Raw genomic sequence first — 17,619 nt, 5'->3', positions numbered from 1 at the left:
GTAAAACAACAAATGCAAAAATATAATATGATAGCAATCATATCAACAGCATACTCAAATAATAGTATATTATAATTGGTTGGATTCATCCTAGGAATGTAAAAGTGATTCACAACCAGAGAATCTGTTAGTTTAATTTGTTATATTAACAGATAAGGAAAAAAATCATATAATCATCTGGATAGATACAGGAAATGCATTACATTTCAGCACGTGTTAATGATAACAAATAAGAAAGGATTAGAACTTTCTTAATGTGACATAGGCGTTTACCAAAAACCTATAAGAGATGTTATGCTTAAAATGAAACATTTGGCCGGGCGCAGTGGCTCACACCTGTAATCCCAGCACTTTGGGAGGCCGAGGCAGATGGACCACGAGGTCAGGAGATCGAGACCATCCTGGCTCACACGGTGAGACCCCGTCTCTACTAAAAATACAAAATATTAGCCGGACGTGGTGGCGGGCGCCTGTAGTCCCAGCTACTACGGAGGCTGAGGCAGGAGAATGGCATGAACCCAGGAGGCGGAGCTTGCAGTGAGCTGAGATCACGCTACTGCACTCCAGCCTGGGCGACACAGCGAGACTCTGTCTCAAAAAAAAAACAACAACAACAACAAAAAAAGAAACATTTGAGGCTTTTTCATTAATGTGAGGAATAAGAGCGTCTACTCTAACCTCTACTATTCAGCATTGCATTGAAAAGCCTATCTAATGCAATGAGTCAGGAAAAAGCAGCAAAGAATTAAGGATTGAAAAGGAAGCTTGCAGATAAAAGTCTACGAACAGAATTAATGAAGAGATGTGTGGCAAAATTGAAAGCTGATACAAGAAAATTCAATAGTGCTCCTATAAATTATTATCTAGTTAGAAAATTCAATGCAAAAAGGTACCATTCACCAAAAGGAACTTAGGAGAGATGACAAAGGAAGTGTAAGACCTTTATGAAGAAAATTATAAGCCTTAATTAAAGGATATAAAAGAAATCCCAGTAGATATTCATAGTAAAGCTCCAGTGTTTATTTTGTAGGTATGCAAATTTGAGCTACTTATTTATCATCCCTGTGCCTCATTTTCCACATTGGTAAAATAGACATAATAATAAAATCTACCTAATCAAGTTGTTGAGGATCTTGTAAAATAATACATACAAAAGGACTTAGAACAGTGCCTGATACATAACAAGTGTTATTGTTATCGTTAAGCTGTAGCTTTTAAGACAGTAAGGGTAGTGACACTGAGATAGATAAATGGAATATAACAGAAAGCTCAGAAACCCACCTAGGCACATATTAAGTCTGAAGTATAACAGAGGAAGCAATATCAATGCATGAAAAAAGGAAAGAGTATGCAAGAACTGGTGATAGGACGAATGGCTTTCTTCATGAAAAAATAGACTTTACTTGCATTAGATAAAAAAATAAACTTAGCTGGATTAAAGACATGAAAAATAGGAGTCTAAACCTATTCAAATAGAAGGACAGGGATTGATTTCCTAAACCATACACAGAAAACAGTTATGGCTGGCCGCAGTGGCTCACACGTGTAATCCCAGCACTGGCTGAGGCGGGTGGATTACTTGAACCCAAGAGTTTGAGACCAGCCGAGGCAACATGGTGAAACCCCATCTCTACAAAAATTACAAAACTTAGCAGGGTGTGGTGGCGTGTGCCTGTAGTCCCAGCTACTTGGTGGCTGAGGTGGGAGGATGGTTTGAACCTGGGAGGTGGAAGGCTGCAGTGAGCTGTGATTGTGCCACTGCACTCCAGCCTGGGTGACAGAGTAAGAACCTGAAAAAAAAAGACAGTAAGAAAAGAACAAAACAAAGAAAGAAAGAGAAAGAAGGAAAGAAAGAAAGAAAGAAAATGGATACAGTGAAGAAAATGATTCATAAAATTGACATCAAAACTAAAAACATCTTTAAAAAATCCAAAACTTCATTACAAAGAAAGGGCTAGTATCCACAATATATAACATCTATAAATAAATAATTGATAATAGATAATTGACAGAAGAGGACACCCGAATGAAAATTCTCAATCTCAATAGTAATAAGGGATATACAAATTAAAACTACATAAGATATCATTTCATGTTCAGACTGGCAAGAACTTGAGTTGGACCATACTAAGTTTTAGCCACTACATAAATAGATACCTCAAACACTCCTGGAAGGGCACATTGATATAATCACTTTGGAGAGTAATTTGGCAACATCTAATGAGGTTGAAAATGTACCTATCTGAAGAGTCAACAAATTCCACTCCTAGATATACTCCCTATTTGTATACACCCAAAAACTCTTGCCTATGTACACAAGGAGACAAGTATTCTGTTCACTGCAGCATTGTTATAATAACCCAATTGTCAACAAGTAGGCAAAGAAATAAACATAATAAATGGTAAATGGAGTATCCACAGCAATTAAAATGAAATAACTAGATTTATAGGCATTAACATGGATAGATGTTGGAAACGTAATTTTGAGCCTGAAAAATAAGTTGCAGAATGTCACATACAGTGATATGATTTATATACATTTTAGAAGCAACAACATGCCACAATATAGTATTTATGAATGCATATAATATATATTATGTAATAAATATAAAAACATGGTTTGGACACACATCAAATTCATGATACGGTTGCCTATGGGCAGAGAGAAAGGACATAGGACTGGCAAGGAGAATCTATGGAACTCCATAGACATTAACATTAATATATGATTTCTTTAAGTAAAGGATCTGAGGTAAATAAATGTGGGGAAAGATTAACATGTGTTAATTTTTGTATCAAGTATATCTCTTGATTTTTTTCTGTATTAAAATGTTCATATACATAGTGTCTGACCTCCAGAATTAAATACTTCTATGGTAGAACAGACAGAAAATAGACTAAAATGTAGAGAAGCTGAGTGATGGCTGACTTTTATCATGCAACCTTGGCCAGTTCTCTTAACCAAGAGAATCTCGGTTATCTGATCTGCTGAATGAGGACACTGCAAACCTTAAGGGGAGTGGGTATGTGTTGAGAACACAGCACGTGCTAGGCATGAATCACATTAACACAAGAGTTGAGCTGTGAGCTAAAAACTAAATAGTATATTGTAAATTCATCTTAGGAAACAAAGCTACTATTTTGTAAAACCCATCAGAAACAAAAAGAATATAAAGAGGCTTAACAACTGTAGTTGCTGTCTGATTCATGCACATTTCTTTCCTTTTTCCTCATCATTTCCCTCCACAGATGTAACAATTTAGAGGGCAGAGCTAATCTACTCATTGAAGCCTGAGAAACAGCCCATTCTATCTCCTCTTCACACACATTGTGGGGTGGAATAGCTTAATGATGTCATCTGTCAAAAGGCCCTGGAGTCATATTGTTTGTCTATTAGAAATGTCTGTAGCATGGAATCTTCTAATACAGTCAATTCCCCAAGGAGAAGACAGAGTTCCAGATCTACAGTGAGCCCCAGTATGCAGGGGTGATGCAGTGTACAAGGCATAGCTGCAGTTTTCTACGGACCAGTTGCTATAAGAAGTTTAAAATGAGCTCTCCGGTAATAGCCACAATTTTCACTCTCTCTGAAAATGGATAGAGTCCAGCACTGACAATCTCCCTTGATGTTAAATGCCTGCCAGCCAATTTCTTTCTGTTTGTCTATTTCTTTTGTTAAAGTAGGGGACACAACTTTGAATTTTAAACTTCTACTAGCTGTAGTAGTGAAGAATTTTTACACACATTTACATACATAACTAAATGCTCTATGTTATACTACAAAGGATAAAAAAGAAAGTGAAAAAGTAAATTATGTGTCTTTATTTCAGATATACAATTGAAGGCATTTTGGTTGGCGGAAAAATGGCATTGTGGAGATAATTTATATATGTACATTTCAACACCCCTCTGCATAAAATGAAGTACATACAGTCATTTTCTGTACTTCAGATATACTCCTTAATTTCTTCTCCTGCCCTTTTAACAAATCCTACTCCTCTAGGTGTGTCTACCTTAAAGGGTCATTTATGAACATGAAACCGTGCTCCTTTCACCATTTCCAAGTCCATTTTCATAAGCACTGCTGGGGTAAAATTAGGCGGTTCATTAGCGCAGAGGAAAAGAGAAGGAATCTGAAAGTCAGACCACTGGGGCCAGAACCAGGCCTTCCACTTACAAGTTGTGGCAATTAACTTAACCTATTTCTACCTAGTTAAAATGGGAATAATAACAGTATTTTCTCACAGAATTGTAGAAAATGAAATACTGTATAAAAAGTGGCAAATAGAATGAAATAGATGTTAGTCAGAATTAACTTAGTGTCACCATATTGCCATCATTATAATTGTTAAGCCAGCTGCTACGTGCTGGAAAGTCAGTGCAGAGACTACTGTCATTTAAAGGAGACAGACACATCAACAAATACATACAGAAAGGGGGTCCCTATTTAAATGAGGAAATAACCCAGTGGCTGAGGGTCTGAAGGAGCTTTGAAAGCCCAATAATTCTCCCTTGCTGCCATATCACTGTGTATGGCTGTGGCAAGTGATGAAGAAAAATAAATGTTTTAAAAGAACCATGCTTGGATGAGGCATCTGAATTCCTGTTTCCTGGATCCAGGAATTCTAAGTATCTCATTACAATGGCCTTTCTCTGCAGATCACGGAGGCAGAAGGCCACTACAAAGATGTCTTGGTGCCATCTGAGTCCCAAGGTGTCACTGACATCTGGACCCAAGGTTTGAGCTAAAGGTAGCCAAGGCTGAATTAGAGCCAAGAGCAAAAAGAAAATGATTCCAGATGCTTCCAAACAAGTGCCGAGCAAGGCACTTCCTCTGCCTAGCAAGGGGCACCCATTAAAAGGAGGCATCTGTCCTCCAGCCCAGTGCTGAGGTCCCTAGGGCCCTGGGGCACTGCTGCATCCTCACCCTTATTTCCGCTGCTCATAGGGAGGGGAAAGTCTCTCTTCCTGATAGAGCTCCCTGCATACAAGCAGAGCACGCATTCTCCTGCCAACAGGGCCTTTCCATTCTCCGTTCCCACATTCTGAGATTTTTTTTTTTTTTTTTTTTTACTCCTTCAAACCAGAGGTGCCTTATTTGATTGTTCCAAAGAAGTCAGCCTGCTGGGAACTGTTGGTGGAGGCTGATATTCCAGGCGCAGGCATTCCAAAGCAAAGGAGAGTCTACTGTTCCAGGTCACAGAACATTCTTCCTTGTACTAATCAACTTTTTTTACACTGAAAATAAATTAAGTTTTAATAGAATATAAAAAATATAATCTTCACTGTTTCTTCATTCCATACTATATGAAGAGGTCCCAGGTGTTTTTAAAAATCATTTTTTTGTATAGTATTTGTTTCTGAGGAATTCCAAATTGCTCTAAGTGTCATTTATCTTCCAATATCACTATGGAGGTAGGCTTCGGCTTCCCATCTCCTGACCCCTCTGGCTGATAACAAACAGCTGTTTCTTGCGAAGGGTAAATCTAATCACAGTGGTGCTGTGCTGTGTGGCCGCACATGAGGCTGAGTGTGACAGATGGCTGACAGTGAGTGCCACATCTGGGAAGGGCTGACATTCACCCTATGGCCAAAAGAGGACAGAGAATGGCCCCTCCTGTCACAGCATCCAACAAGAAAGAAGAACTTCCAGCACCTGAATTTGTAATAGGCTTGGGGAATAAACTATTAATTGAAGCTCTCTCCTAATGCTTAGTAATTCCTGTAAGAATGCATTTGAAGGTTTGGTACTGTACATCAAGTTGAAATTTTTCAGTTTCCTTCCACTGTAGTTAATTTCAAATTAGCATAGTTCAATTTTTATAACGTTAATACATATCATATTTACTAGGACATCCAACAAAAATCTCGGCTGAAATAAGCGTTTAATTTTCCCCTATGAGAACTACCTGAAGTTGAAACCACTTTTCTTTTCTTCTTTTGTTTTTTTTTGAGATGGAGTTTCGCTCTGTCACCCAGGCTGGAGTGCAGTGGTATGATCTCGGCTCACTGGACAGAGATTGACTCTTCCTCTCCCAGCATCAACTCGGTACTGAACCAGGAAGCAACACTTCCTAAGCAGTACCCTGTGCTTTCTACCAAACACATCAATTAACTAATTGGATAAAGACTAGTAAAAATGTCTTTTCTATAGGATTTTTCTTTAAACATTATGAAACAATATTCTTTACATGAGATCCACACAGTGCTAGAGCACGATTGGAGTTGTGTGAAAACCTCTATTAAAAAGACCAGTGACCATATGTGAATGTGGCTGCCTTCATAATGAGTAAAGATAAATGATAATAAAAATAAATAATGACGATAAATGGCTGCTAACTGGGACCAATGTCTCTGGTGAGCTGTCACAAGTCAGCAGAAAATGCCATTCCTTAAATTTTATGAAATTAATAATACTTGATTATTCAGAAATATCTGACAAATGCTGAAACTAAATGTTAGTTCTCATCCAAATGCAATAATTTGACGATAGGCAGAGGGCTATACAATTAAACATTTTATATTTAAATTTAGAAAACTATTTCTAAAATTAAGAATACTTTCAATTATTGAATTAGAAATTCCTACAAAATGGGAGAAAATTTTCGCAACCTACTCATCTGACAAAGGGCTAATATCCAGAATCTACAATGAACTCAAACAAATTTATAAGAAAAAAACAAACAACCCCATCAAAAAGTGGGCGAAGGACATGAACAGACACTTCTCAAAAGAAGACATTTATGCAGCCAAAAAACACATGAAAAAATGCTCATCATCACTGGCCATCAGAGAAATGCAAATCAAAACCACAATGAGATACCATCTCACACCAGTTAGAATGGCAATCATTAAAAAGTCAGGAAACAACAGGTGCTGGAGAGGATGTGGAGAAATAGGAACACTTTTACACTGTTGGTGGGACTGTAAACTAGTTCAACCATTGTGGAAGTCAGTGTGGCGATTCCTCAGGGATCTAGAACTAGAAATACCATTTGACCCAGCCATCCCATTACTGGGTATATACCCAAAGGACTATAAATCATGCTGCTATAAAGACACATGCACATGTATGTTTATTGCGGCATTATTCACAATAGCAAAGACTTGGAACCAACCCAAATGTCCAACAATGATAGACTGGATTAAGAAAATGTGGCACATAGACACCATGGAATACTATGAAGCCATAAAAAATGATGAGTTCATGTCCTTTGTAGGGACATGGATGAAATTGGAAATCATCATTCTCAGTAAACTATCGCAAGAACAAAAAACCAAACACCGCATATTCTCACTCATAGGTGGGAATTGAACAATGAGATCACATGGACACAGGAAGGGGAACATCACACTCTGGGGACTGTGGTGGGGTGGGGGGAGGGGGGAGGGATAGCATTGGGAGATATACCTAATGCTAGATGACGAGTTAGTGGGTGCAGTGCACCAGCATGGCACATGTATACATATGTAACTAACCTGCACAATGTGCACATGTACCCTAAAACTTAAAGTATAATAAAAAAATAAATAAATAAATAAAATTAAATTAAAAAAAAAAAGAAATTCCTAAACTCTACAAAACCCCCACCATTTCATGTCTGTTCTTGTGCAAAAATAAAATAAAAATTAGCTTATAGAAGACTAGCAGGTCTAAATGTCATTATTAAATACAGTTGACCCTTGAACAACATGAGTTTGAACGGCATCAGTCCACTTTTATGTGGATTTTCTTCCACCTCTGCCACCGATGGGACAGTAAGATCAACCCCTTCTCTCCCTCCTCCTCCTCAGCCTACTTAATGTGAAGATGATGAGGATGAAGATCTTTATGATGATTACCTGCACTTAATAACTAAGTATGTTTTTGCTTCCTTATGATTTTCTTAATAACATTTCTTTTCTCTAGCTTACTTTACTGTAAGATACAGTATGTGATACATATAACATAGAAAATATGCGTTAATCGACGGTTATTGGAAAGGCTTCTGGTCAACAGTAAGCTGTTAGCAGATAAGTTTTTGAGAGGTCAAAAGTTGTATGTTTCTTTTGCTGTGCTGAAGCTCTTTAGTTTAATTAGGACCCATTTGTCAATTTTTGTTTTTGTTGTAATTTCTTTTAGAATCTTTGTCATAAAATCTTTGCTAGGGTCCATGTGCAGAATGGTATTTTCTAGGTTATCTTCCAGGATTTTTATAGTTTTAGGTTTTACATGTAAGTCTTTCATCCATCTTATTTTTGCATATGGTGTGAGGAAGGGGTCTAGTTTCAATCTCCTGCATATGACTAGCCAGTTATGCAAATGCCATTTATTGACTAGAGAATCTTTTCCCCATTGCTTTTGTCAACTTTGTCAAAGATAAGACGGTTGTAAGCTGTGTGGCATTATTTCTGGGCTCTCTATTCTGTTGCATTGGTCTATGTGTCTGGAATGAAATCATGTCCTTTGCAGCAACATGGATGGAGCTGGAGGCCATTATCCTAAGCAAATTAACACAGGAACAGAAAACCAAATGTCACACAAAGAAGGGAACAAGAGACACTGGGGCCTACTTGAGGGTGAAGGATGGGAGGAAGAGAGAATATAAAAACTACCTATCGGATACTATGCTTATTACCTGTGTGATAAAATAATCTGCACACCAAACCTGTGACATACAATTTACCTGTGTAACAAACCTGCACATGTACCTCATGAAACTAAAATAAAAGTTTAAAAAAAAGTTATATGTGAATTTTCAACTGCATGGGGGTTTGGTGTCCCTAATCCTCACATTGTTCAAGGGTCAACTGTACATAGAAATGAGACAAATCCATTTCTAAAACCATTTTACATCTATTTTGTATCTGTCTTTGCTGTTCACTTTAATTTCTGTTTTTGGTGAATACTCTCCTGTATTTCAGACATCCTCACAAACTACCTTAAAATATTGCTAGAAGGAAGAGAGGAAAAAAAATAGAATAAACACACCAACATATGTATAGCCAAAAGGACTCAAATTAAAGGGAGCACTTCTAGTTAAAGAGACATCTAAAAAGTGTTTTTTTGAGGGCTGGGGCTGGGCTTAGGTACAGTTCAGTAGGGGAGCTTGTTGACCTCCGAAGCATCTTCCTGAACTGGGATTCTATTGACTGTACTTGCCTGTTTACCAAAAGACATGCACACTGTGTTTCTTAATCAACAAAAAGTATTATAATAGGCATCCCTTGAGCTAAGGCATACCTTAATCAACAAAATTATTAATTGATGCATACATTATTATGTTAATTTATTATAATAAAGAAGAATTGGGGATGGGAATGACGTGGTTTAATACAACAACATAACCATGCAAATCTCTGCTTCTGGTGATCATTTTCAAAGACATGTTGCAAAAATAGGGCCATTGCCTATAAGCCAAAGCTGTGTTTCATCATGTCCCATGACTTACCATGTGTGCCTGGAAAAATGCGGGAATGAAGGACTGGTTGCATAGGTTGAGAATCCTGGAAGAGTCTTTTAGGACGTAGATATTCCCGAAGTCCACTTGATTGGGATGGACGTAGATAACTGGGCCTTCTCCAGCGCTCTTTAAGTGACATACCTGAGTTCCGCCAGAGAGAAAGAACACAGGAACAGCTGGAAATGGCTAGCCACTTTTAGCCATTCCTTCAATAAAAAGCAAGGGCAAAAGAGGATGCTTATGAGAACTGGCACCCCTTCCCATTGGTGTGCTGTGGTCTCGGGAACACAGCGAGGGCCATGCTGGTCAGACCTGTGAATCCAGCCTGGATTTCCTCCCCGGAAAGAATGAGCAGCTTCCCCAGGTCAGCCCAGAGCCATGCATTGAGGGGAAACCAGAATCTGGGTCCCCTCCATCCCACACAGCACTCCAGCCTCAATGACACTTAGTACGGGGTTAAGGGTCAGCACTTCAAAGTCAGATGTGGCTGGGTTTGAGTTCCAGTTCTGTTGCTTTACAAGTGGTGTGGCAGGGCAGGGCCACTGCACATAGTTGTGAGGGTTGGAGATTGAAATCCACTTTGCTCTACTCTCTTCTTCCTGTCCCCGGAGCCAGGCACTGTGTCTGCCTGAGGAAGGTGGCCCTTTTCTTTCACAAAGTTCTGGCTGCTCAGCAAGCTACCCTCTCATGGGCTGCATCTGTGCAGGGGGGTAGGACAGCAGCACAGTGAGCCTCGTGGGGGACCTGAACTGGTGGCATGTTTTGGGGTCGGCCTGCCTTGGTGATGCTGCTTTATAAGTTAAGTGGCTTATTTACGGCATCTTATATGGAAGAGATAAAAGCAAAATCCTAGTGTTTTACGCTGTCTAAGCAATCAGAGTCACAACAAAGAAACGTAAGGCGACATCACTAGTTCCCAAGTAAACCACATGTCTAGGAATACAGAGCCTGTTGGGCAACCTCCTGTAGGATTCGATGTTTATCCTTCAACTCAGCCTAAGCAGTGGAGAGCTTTCCATGAATCCCTCTTCCTCTTCCTCTTGGAGAGAGACTATTTCTCTTAACAGCTTGAGTAGGCTGATGGCACATTAGCTTGAGTAGGCTAATATGAGCCATGAGTCAAGTTAATATACAAGAAAAGCTCAGGTGAGCAGTGAAGGAAACTGATCTCCCAGCCTACAGGTGACAAACCAGTGATACCCAAACCCAGCTTTGCACCAGGAACAACCAAGGAGCTTATTAAAAATACAGATGTGCTGGCTCCCGTACAGATGTGCTGGCTTCCTCCCCTCAGAGTTTCTGATTTCAAAGGACTGGAGAGGGGTCAGGCATGTGTGACAGTGTGTGTGTGTGTGTGTGTGTGTGTCAGAGAGAGAGAGAGAGAGAGAGAGAAACTCCTGGTATCCTGTTAGGTTTAAGGATGATTGCTATAAAACACTGCTTCTGTTAGATGTAGCCATAAACAGATTCTGTAAAGTCACATAGCACCGGTATTTTACCATTGCAGAGTAAAAACATAAAACCCTAGAACTCCAAGCAACTGGGGTGTATGTGAATACGGTGTGGGCCTCAAATGAGAAAGCTCAAAATGTTTGAGAAGAAGCACAGCAATTTCAATTGCAGTTCTGAAAATGGACTCTCACCAAAGGGGGGTCCTGGCTCCCAAAGATTGAGATGTAAACCGTGGATCTGTGTTCTCCAGTGACCTGGGTCTCCAGGACCAGTGGTATGTGGATGGTGCTGCTTGGGGAGATGACCCCGCTGGGGGTGGGGCTGGAAAACAGCACAGTAGGCACCTCCTCACACACCTGGGGGAGAGCAAACCAGAGGGGTAAGGACAGCACAGCATGGAACAAATAGCGTATTTGCTTATTTTGAAGCGTTTTCCTGAGTCCATAGAGGTGTTTTAGAAATGTCTTATTATTCAAGCAAGTAAATAGGGATGAGCACCCCAATTCGGCCAAAAGGAAGTTTGGTTAAGTGGGATGTGCATGAGGCCCAAAATTCAAAGTGCCCAGCACAGCAAGATGCAGAATTATCCGCAACACAAATAAGTTCAGGGCAACAGCTTTCCACTTTCCTTAGGAAAAGGAAAAGGTCCACTTTCCACTTTCCAAGTTCCTTAACCTGGCCCTCTGCACCCTCACGCATCATCCCCACTCCCTTGCCCTTTGTGCTCCATCAATAGAGGCTGCTGGTGTTTCCTGAATCCATGATGCTGCTTCTGACCTCCAGTCCTTTGCACTTGTGGTGACTCCTCCTAGAACGCCCATACCCATCAACCCATCTGGCACACTCATCCTGAATTCTCCCTCTGTTCCTCAAGTGCCCTAGGGTGGGAACCTTTCCTCTGTCCCCAGGGAGCATCCTGTGCAGTCCTTTTCCACAGCATGCACTGGACAGCACCATGCCACCTGCATCTCCCGCTGACAACTTCTTAGCATACAGCTGGGCCTCTCCTCTCTACATGACCACTTTCTGACCCAAAGCATATGCTCAGTTTTTAAAGTGAGGAATGAATGAATGAATGAACAACTGTCCAGTATTGACCAATTTGTGTTTCTCAGAACCCTGTTCTGCACCATATTACCAGCTTTTATGCATCAAGAACGCAAATAAAATTTTTAAAATGCTACTATATAACTCTGGGAACCATTTCTCAGAGCCTCTGCTGCTGGGGAGGACGACAGAGCATGCAGGTGTCACCTGCCTGGGGTACGCCACAGTCTCTCTGCATCTGGTCTGGCCTAACATGGCCCAGTCTAACTCCTCCCTGTGCCACAGTGCTCCGCCGAGCCTTATGACAGCCTGAGGTCGGACTGATCTCTTTACCTAGGTTTTGGTATCTTGTTTATTATGGATTTTTTGGAATTAATTTTGATTTCTTACAATATGTAATGGAAATACTAAGCATCTTGAGTGTTTGGCTTCCCCTTAAATTTTGTGCCCAAGGCAAGTGCCTCATCCTATGCCCAGTCCTGCTGTGCAGAAACAACTTCCCCTGACCCCAGATGCACACTCCACTCTGAGTTCTTGAAATGATCATGCACTGTGCAGGGCTGGCCCGGCCTGCTGTGGAGCATCTGAGTGTTAGACCTTGTCTCCTGTCACCCTAACCCTTGGCTTCTAGTTCTGTCTCAGAGAAACCCATAGAACCATTCTATTTCTCTGTTACGTAACAGCCCCGTGACTTGTGAAAGGTAGCTGTGTTATCCTAGCTAATTCTATTCTGTTTCAGATTAAACACACATATGATTGGATTTGCAGATGCCATGGATTGCCATTTTGGTTACTGTGCACATGGTGCTTTTTCTTCTTCAAGTTTCCATTAGAAAAATACAATGACAACATCTGAAGACAAAATTCTGGCTGTGTTCTGACCAGCAGCTATCACCTTCCTTTACCTAAAGGTGGTAATTCTCTGCGGCAGCCTAAACTTGCCTTGGTTCTGTGGCCTCCATATTGCTGTTTTAACTCCCATTGATCTTGTAGCCAAATAAACCCCCATATGACATTTTTGCATACATTTTAGTTAGAATATTGTACTTCTATAACTGAGTTTTATACCCAAATGCATTCTTGGTAAACTGCATCTCAGTAGTAACCTTCCATTACTCTAATCTGTACAGATTTTTAAAAAATTGTTTATCCATCTGTGTTTAACTCCTTAGTCTCCCACTTAGCTGGGTGTAGTGGCATATGGACAGACACATTTCATAAAACATGAAGAGATAATTCCTCCTTTCTTATTCCTGTATTGTCTCTAGCTTTCTGGTCCAACAAATCTACTTATAAATATTGCATTACTTACTGATGCCATTCAACTCACAGCCATGGACATAATGAAAACTCCTAGCTCATTTCCCATGCATGGTTAGTTCACAGGCAATTATTTGCAGATGCAATTCTGCATGTTGGCTTAATTGACACTTTCCCTTGTTTATCAAGGGTAATTTCTCTGGGAAATTAACAACGGTTTACACCTGCAGCTGCTCAGGCATGCAGCTAGCAATCCAACTGTGACTTTATAACCCGATCCTTAGACTATCTAAGGGTTAAAAATCAGCATTACTTAAGGTCATGTGTTCAGGAATGTGGCACTTCAGAGGGATTTCTCTTTCTCATCAAGGGAACTCAATGGAAGAATAATTAATACTGAAGAAGGAGAAAGGAACTCACCTGAGGCTGGACCTCATAGAATCCTGGGAGGTCATCTTGATCGGCAAGCTGGAGTGTTTTCTCATACGGGTACTTCAGGAAGCAGTGCCCAAAGTCCACCTCTGTATTGACCAGGTGGAGGGCAGGTACAACACACCTGCTCGGAGGAGCCCATCACACAATTCAAAACAGAGAGCTTGTTTACATACAGAACACGCAGAGCCCCAAGCAAGATACATTTGTCAGTGTCACATAGTAGTTTTTCTCTAATAACCACATTAGTCACTTTCAAAGCTTCTCTCCTCCTCTCTTCCCTGTCTCTTGGCCCCCAGTCACCACTTTTTAATCAAAAAAGGACTAGAAGCAGAACTCCTTGAAGAGCTGCCTGGTGGGTAATGACTCACATTTCCATTGTTTTATATATTTGCCCTTCTTTGGGCAAGGGGTCCCCATGGCGCAAGATCCATAGGGTAGTGAATCTGTTTCCATGCCAAACAGGGCCAATGCCACCAGCATGTGGTCCTAACTAGCTGTGACACTTTGGACCAGTCAGAAAGCCCCCCAAGGACTAGCGACAGCTCACATCATCTAAATAACAATAATAATGCTAATTCCTATGCAGAACAGCTGTCTTGGATGCAGAGGTTCAGGTGGCTGCTTGGTCCAGAACTGGCACTGTGACGGGGTTGTCACTGTGCCGACATGGCGGGGGTGAGGTGGGGGGAGAGGGAGGGAGGGTTGTATGCAGAAAAGAGGGGAGTTGAAGCCCTGTGTTTACCATTGGTCTATTATTAGGTGACTTGGATTTTATTTGCCGTCTGTGGCTCTCAATGTCTATCCTACCCTTTGCCATTGCTTCAGTATAGTGCAATGGTGAAGAGTACCAGCTTTTGAATTTGCAGAGCCAGCTTCAAAGACTGACCTTACTAAGTACAACCTGTGTAACCTTGGGCAAGCTGCTTTCTGTCTCAGAGTCCCATTTCTCTCATAGGTAAAATGAGGATAATTCTAGGGATTGATATTGGCATTATAAACTCTTCTTAGGGTGCTGGAAGGGCATAGCCCAGCACCAGGTAAGTGCCCAGTAAGAGGGAGTGAGCCTGTGGCAGAATCATGGCAGGCTGTCACTGCTGGCTCTCTGGAGAGAGTTACTTGAGGCTGCAGTTCTAAAAGCAATTCTTCTGTTAAGAGTCAGTGAGTAGTTCCTACAGATTACACCAAAAATAAGGACATGAAAGAGCCTTTCTTTAACCGCAAAGTTTGTGATTTTGCATGAGTGTTCATTTCTAGCTGGAATGGAAGTTGTCTGTTGACCCAGTGACTTTCTTAAAGCTAATCCTTTACTACCTGAAATACTGTGACTGAGAGGGCTTATACTACTTGACTTGGGTCACAGAATATAAGTAGAAAACTCATAGCCTCTTTAGACCTTTTTTTTTTTTTAATTTAGAATTTCCTATCGATAGCTGTAGGGAAAGGGGCTAGAAAGTATCTGAATAAGTCTGCATAGACAAGAAATGCAGGACTAGACTGAAAGGCAAATCTGGGCATAGAAAGGACCACATTAGGGTTTTTACTGTTTGTAAACAAAGGAAAAAATAGGTCTTGAAGGAATACTAAGTAGGTCACAGTGGGAACCCTAATTTAAGTTATTTCTGCACTGCTATTTATCTTCATCCAAGCCCAAGACACGTGAAATAGTGTCAGTTGCTAACTCCCCACCAACCAGCACATCTGCCCCATCTTTAAAGTGTATGTCTTCCTAAGATTCACAAGAGATCAGAATTCCAGAGATTGACATATTAGCATGATTATCAGTTTTCCTAAGTCATTTTCTCTATTTCCTATACGTAGCATTTGCATACATACAACTTAAAGTCCCAGATCTGGACACTGATTGCTTTGGGACGAGTGTGGCCCCAGGATTTTATTTGGGATCACATCATCATTAGTCGATGACACCACCACCCTCATCAGCAGTACTGCAATGACTGTAGCTTGGTCAAAAAGACACAGTCAACAAATGGCTGAGCCAGGATTTTAACCCAGCTGCCTCTCTCAAAAAGAGAGAGGAGTTGGAGATGGTTCTGAGGAGTATACCTTGTTAAAGATGAGCCTCATCTTGGGGGCCCACTCCTAGCCTGAAATTCAAGTCACAGCAACAGTGTCCCGGGGCAGGGACCTCTTGGCTCTATGGATCTTCCACTGCAGGACTGACAGCATCACCTTCCTATTGCATAACTCCGGAGCACTATGTTGAAAGATGAAAATAAAAATGAGCAGCTCTTCACCTCTTCCTGCTAAAACCTTTCTGGTTACATACTTTGAAAGTCAAACCCGTTAGAGAGGGTCTGACCCGTTTCTTCACTATTCTTAGGATTCTCTGCCTAAACTCTACAAAACACACACACTTCTTCTTATCTCCACCAAAGGTGCTTTAGAAACATTTGCTGCTTTGTCATTTGAATGTCAGATTCAACTTCCCTTCCCAGGAAGGCAGGACAAACTCAGTGTGCTTGGGTTGGCAGGCCAGCTGCCTTCTGGGAGGCAGCCCATTACTGGAGGCTCGGGGGCGACTCAGGAGAAGAGCAAGCTGGGGAGCAATACCTTGCTGCAATTAAGAGCGCCAGCACCTCTTCTCCGATGCCCTCCACGTCCACCACGAGTGCCAGCTCGTATTTCTGTACAGTGTTGGAGCATAATGTCACCTGGAAAGAAAAAGGTGACAAGTTGGTCTTCGAAAAAGCACGTTCTCTCTACACGGGGGAGGGGAGCCTCCGGAGGACTACGCTGATCAGAGTGGTTTCTAAGTGCTTTATGGATATATAGCATTTTACATTTTTAGCTGAACAAGTTACATTGTGGGGTCAGGGCATGCTGAGTGTTTTCAAAGGCCAGGGTAGAAACCAAATGGCTGTTAGTACAATGGCTTTGCTCATTTCTGAGGAGGTTTTGTCAAAGAAGCCACATACCTGCATAAGGGCAAAAATGAGCATGAACGATGAGCAACATCGAACCAACTTTAATTACTGCAATTTAAATTGTTCCCTACCTCTGGGCTATATGAATTATGAAAATGTAATATACAAGTAAAACACTATAGCACAAGTTCTCTTACAGTAAAATAAATGGAAATAACCATGTCAGTTCCAGAAAATGGTGTAAGAAATCAGTCTGCTTTACCAAAATCTTGCCCCCACCATCCCACATTCTTTATTACAGCAGAAAATAGAAAGTTCCAAAGAAAGGTCTATTTGAGGACAATAGAACATGGTCAAACCATAAACAGATTTCAGAACTCATTGGTACTTAGATTCCAATTCCAGCAAGTTGGAGTTAAGCAGTAATGAATTGCACAGACAATTCATTTAAGAAGTTTAGCAGTTGCTAGGAGAGATTGAGGGTCAAGGGAGGCTCTTGGGGGGCTCAGAACATTTTACCCTGTGTTTTTATTTCCTGCTGTGAAGCTGTACATTTAGGCTTTCAGAAGCCTTGTTACGATTTTTAATTGCTTCAAAATTGTATGTACTGGAAGAGATAGTTTCAAGTCTAGAAAACAGCTTCTGGCATGAGTTAAGGCTTTTCTATCTATAAATTATGCATCTGGTACTAATTAAAATGTTTTCAGTTGCAGAGGGAATCACTGGATGCAAATTTGAGTCCACACAGACCTGGCTGAAGTGCAGATCAGGAGGGAAAACTGGAGCTTGGAGAAAGCTTTTCCAAATATAAAGGAAAAATAAAGTGAAGATGAAGTCATTGATTTGGAAAGAAACAGAGAATCCTAGTGTGACTGTAACCCCTTGTTTATGTATCTGGGCTGTGGCTAGAAGGAAGAACAAGTGGTTTTGGCAGAAGGCTGCTAGCAAGACGCTGTGTCTTTTAAAATCTTCCTGAGATATCTGGGAAGCAACAACAACAACAAACAACAACAGCAAAAGAAAAGAGGGAAGACAGTTAAGGGTGAAATAATTCCACTGGTGGCACTGTGAGGCGATAACCAAGGCAAAGCACTATC

At 40.9% G+C, this 17,619-nt stretch overlaps 1 pseudogene across 1 annotated transcript in view; it reads right to left on the bottom strand.

The window, feature by feature from the left end:
• HYDIN2 (HYDIN axonemal central pair apparatus protein 2 (pseudogene)) overlaps positions 1-17,619 on the bottom strand; it is a 335,703-nt pseudogene that overhangs the window by 162,152 nt on the left and 155,932 nt on the right. The window contains exons 20-23 of the transcript NR_103556.2: positions 16,209-16,309; positions 13,623-13,758; positions 11,087-11,251; positions 9,432-9,584 (exon numbers count right to left, since the gene is read on the bottom strand). The product of NR_103556.2 is annotated as an HYDIN axonemal central pair apparatus protein 2 (pseudogene) (transcript). The remainder of the gene's footprint in view (positions 1-9,431; positions 9,585-11,086; positions 11,252-13,622; positions 13,759-16,208; positions 16,310-17,619) is intronic.

The sequence above is a fragment of the Homo sapiens genome, chromosome 1, assembly GCF_000001405.40.
Source record: "Homo sapiens chromosome 1, GRCh38.p14 Primary Assembly".
In the NCBI taxonomy this organism is placed as follows: Eukaryota; Metazoa; Chordata; class Mammalia; order Primates; family Hominidae; genus Homo; species Homo sapiens.
The sequence above is the reverse complement of the archived record's forward strand: the minus strand, read 5'-3'. Positions and strand labels throughout refer to the sequence as shown.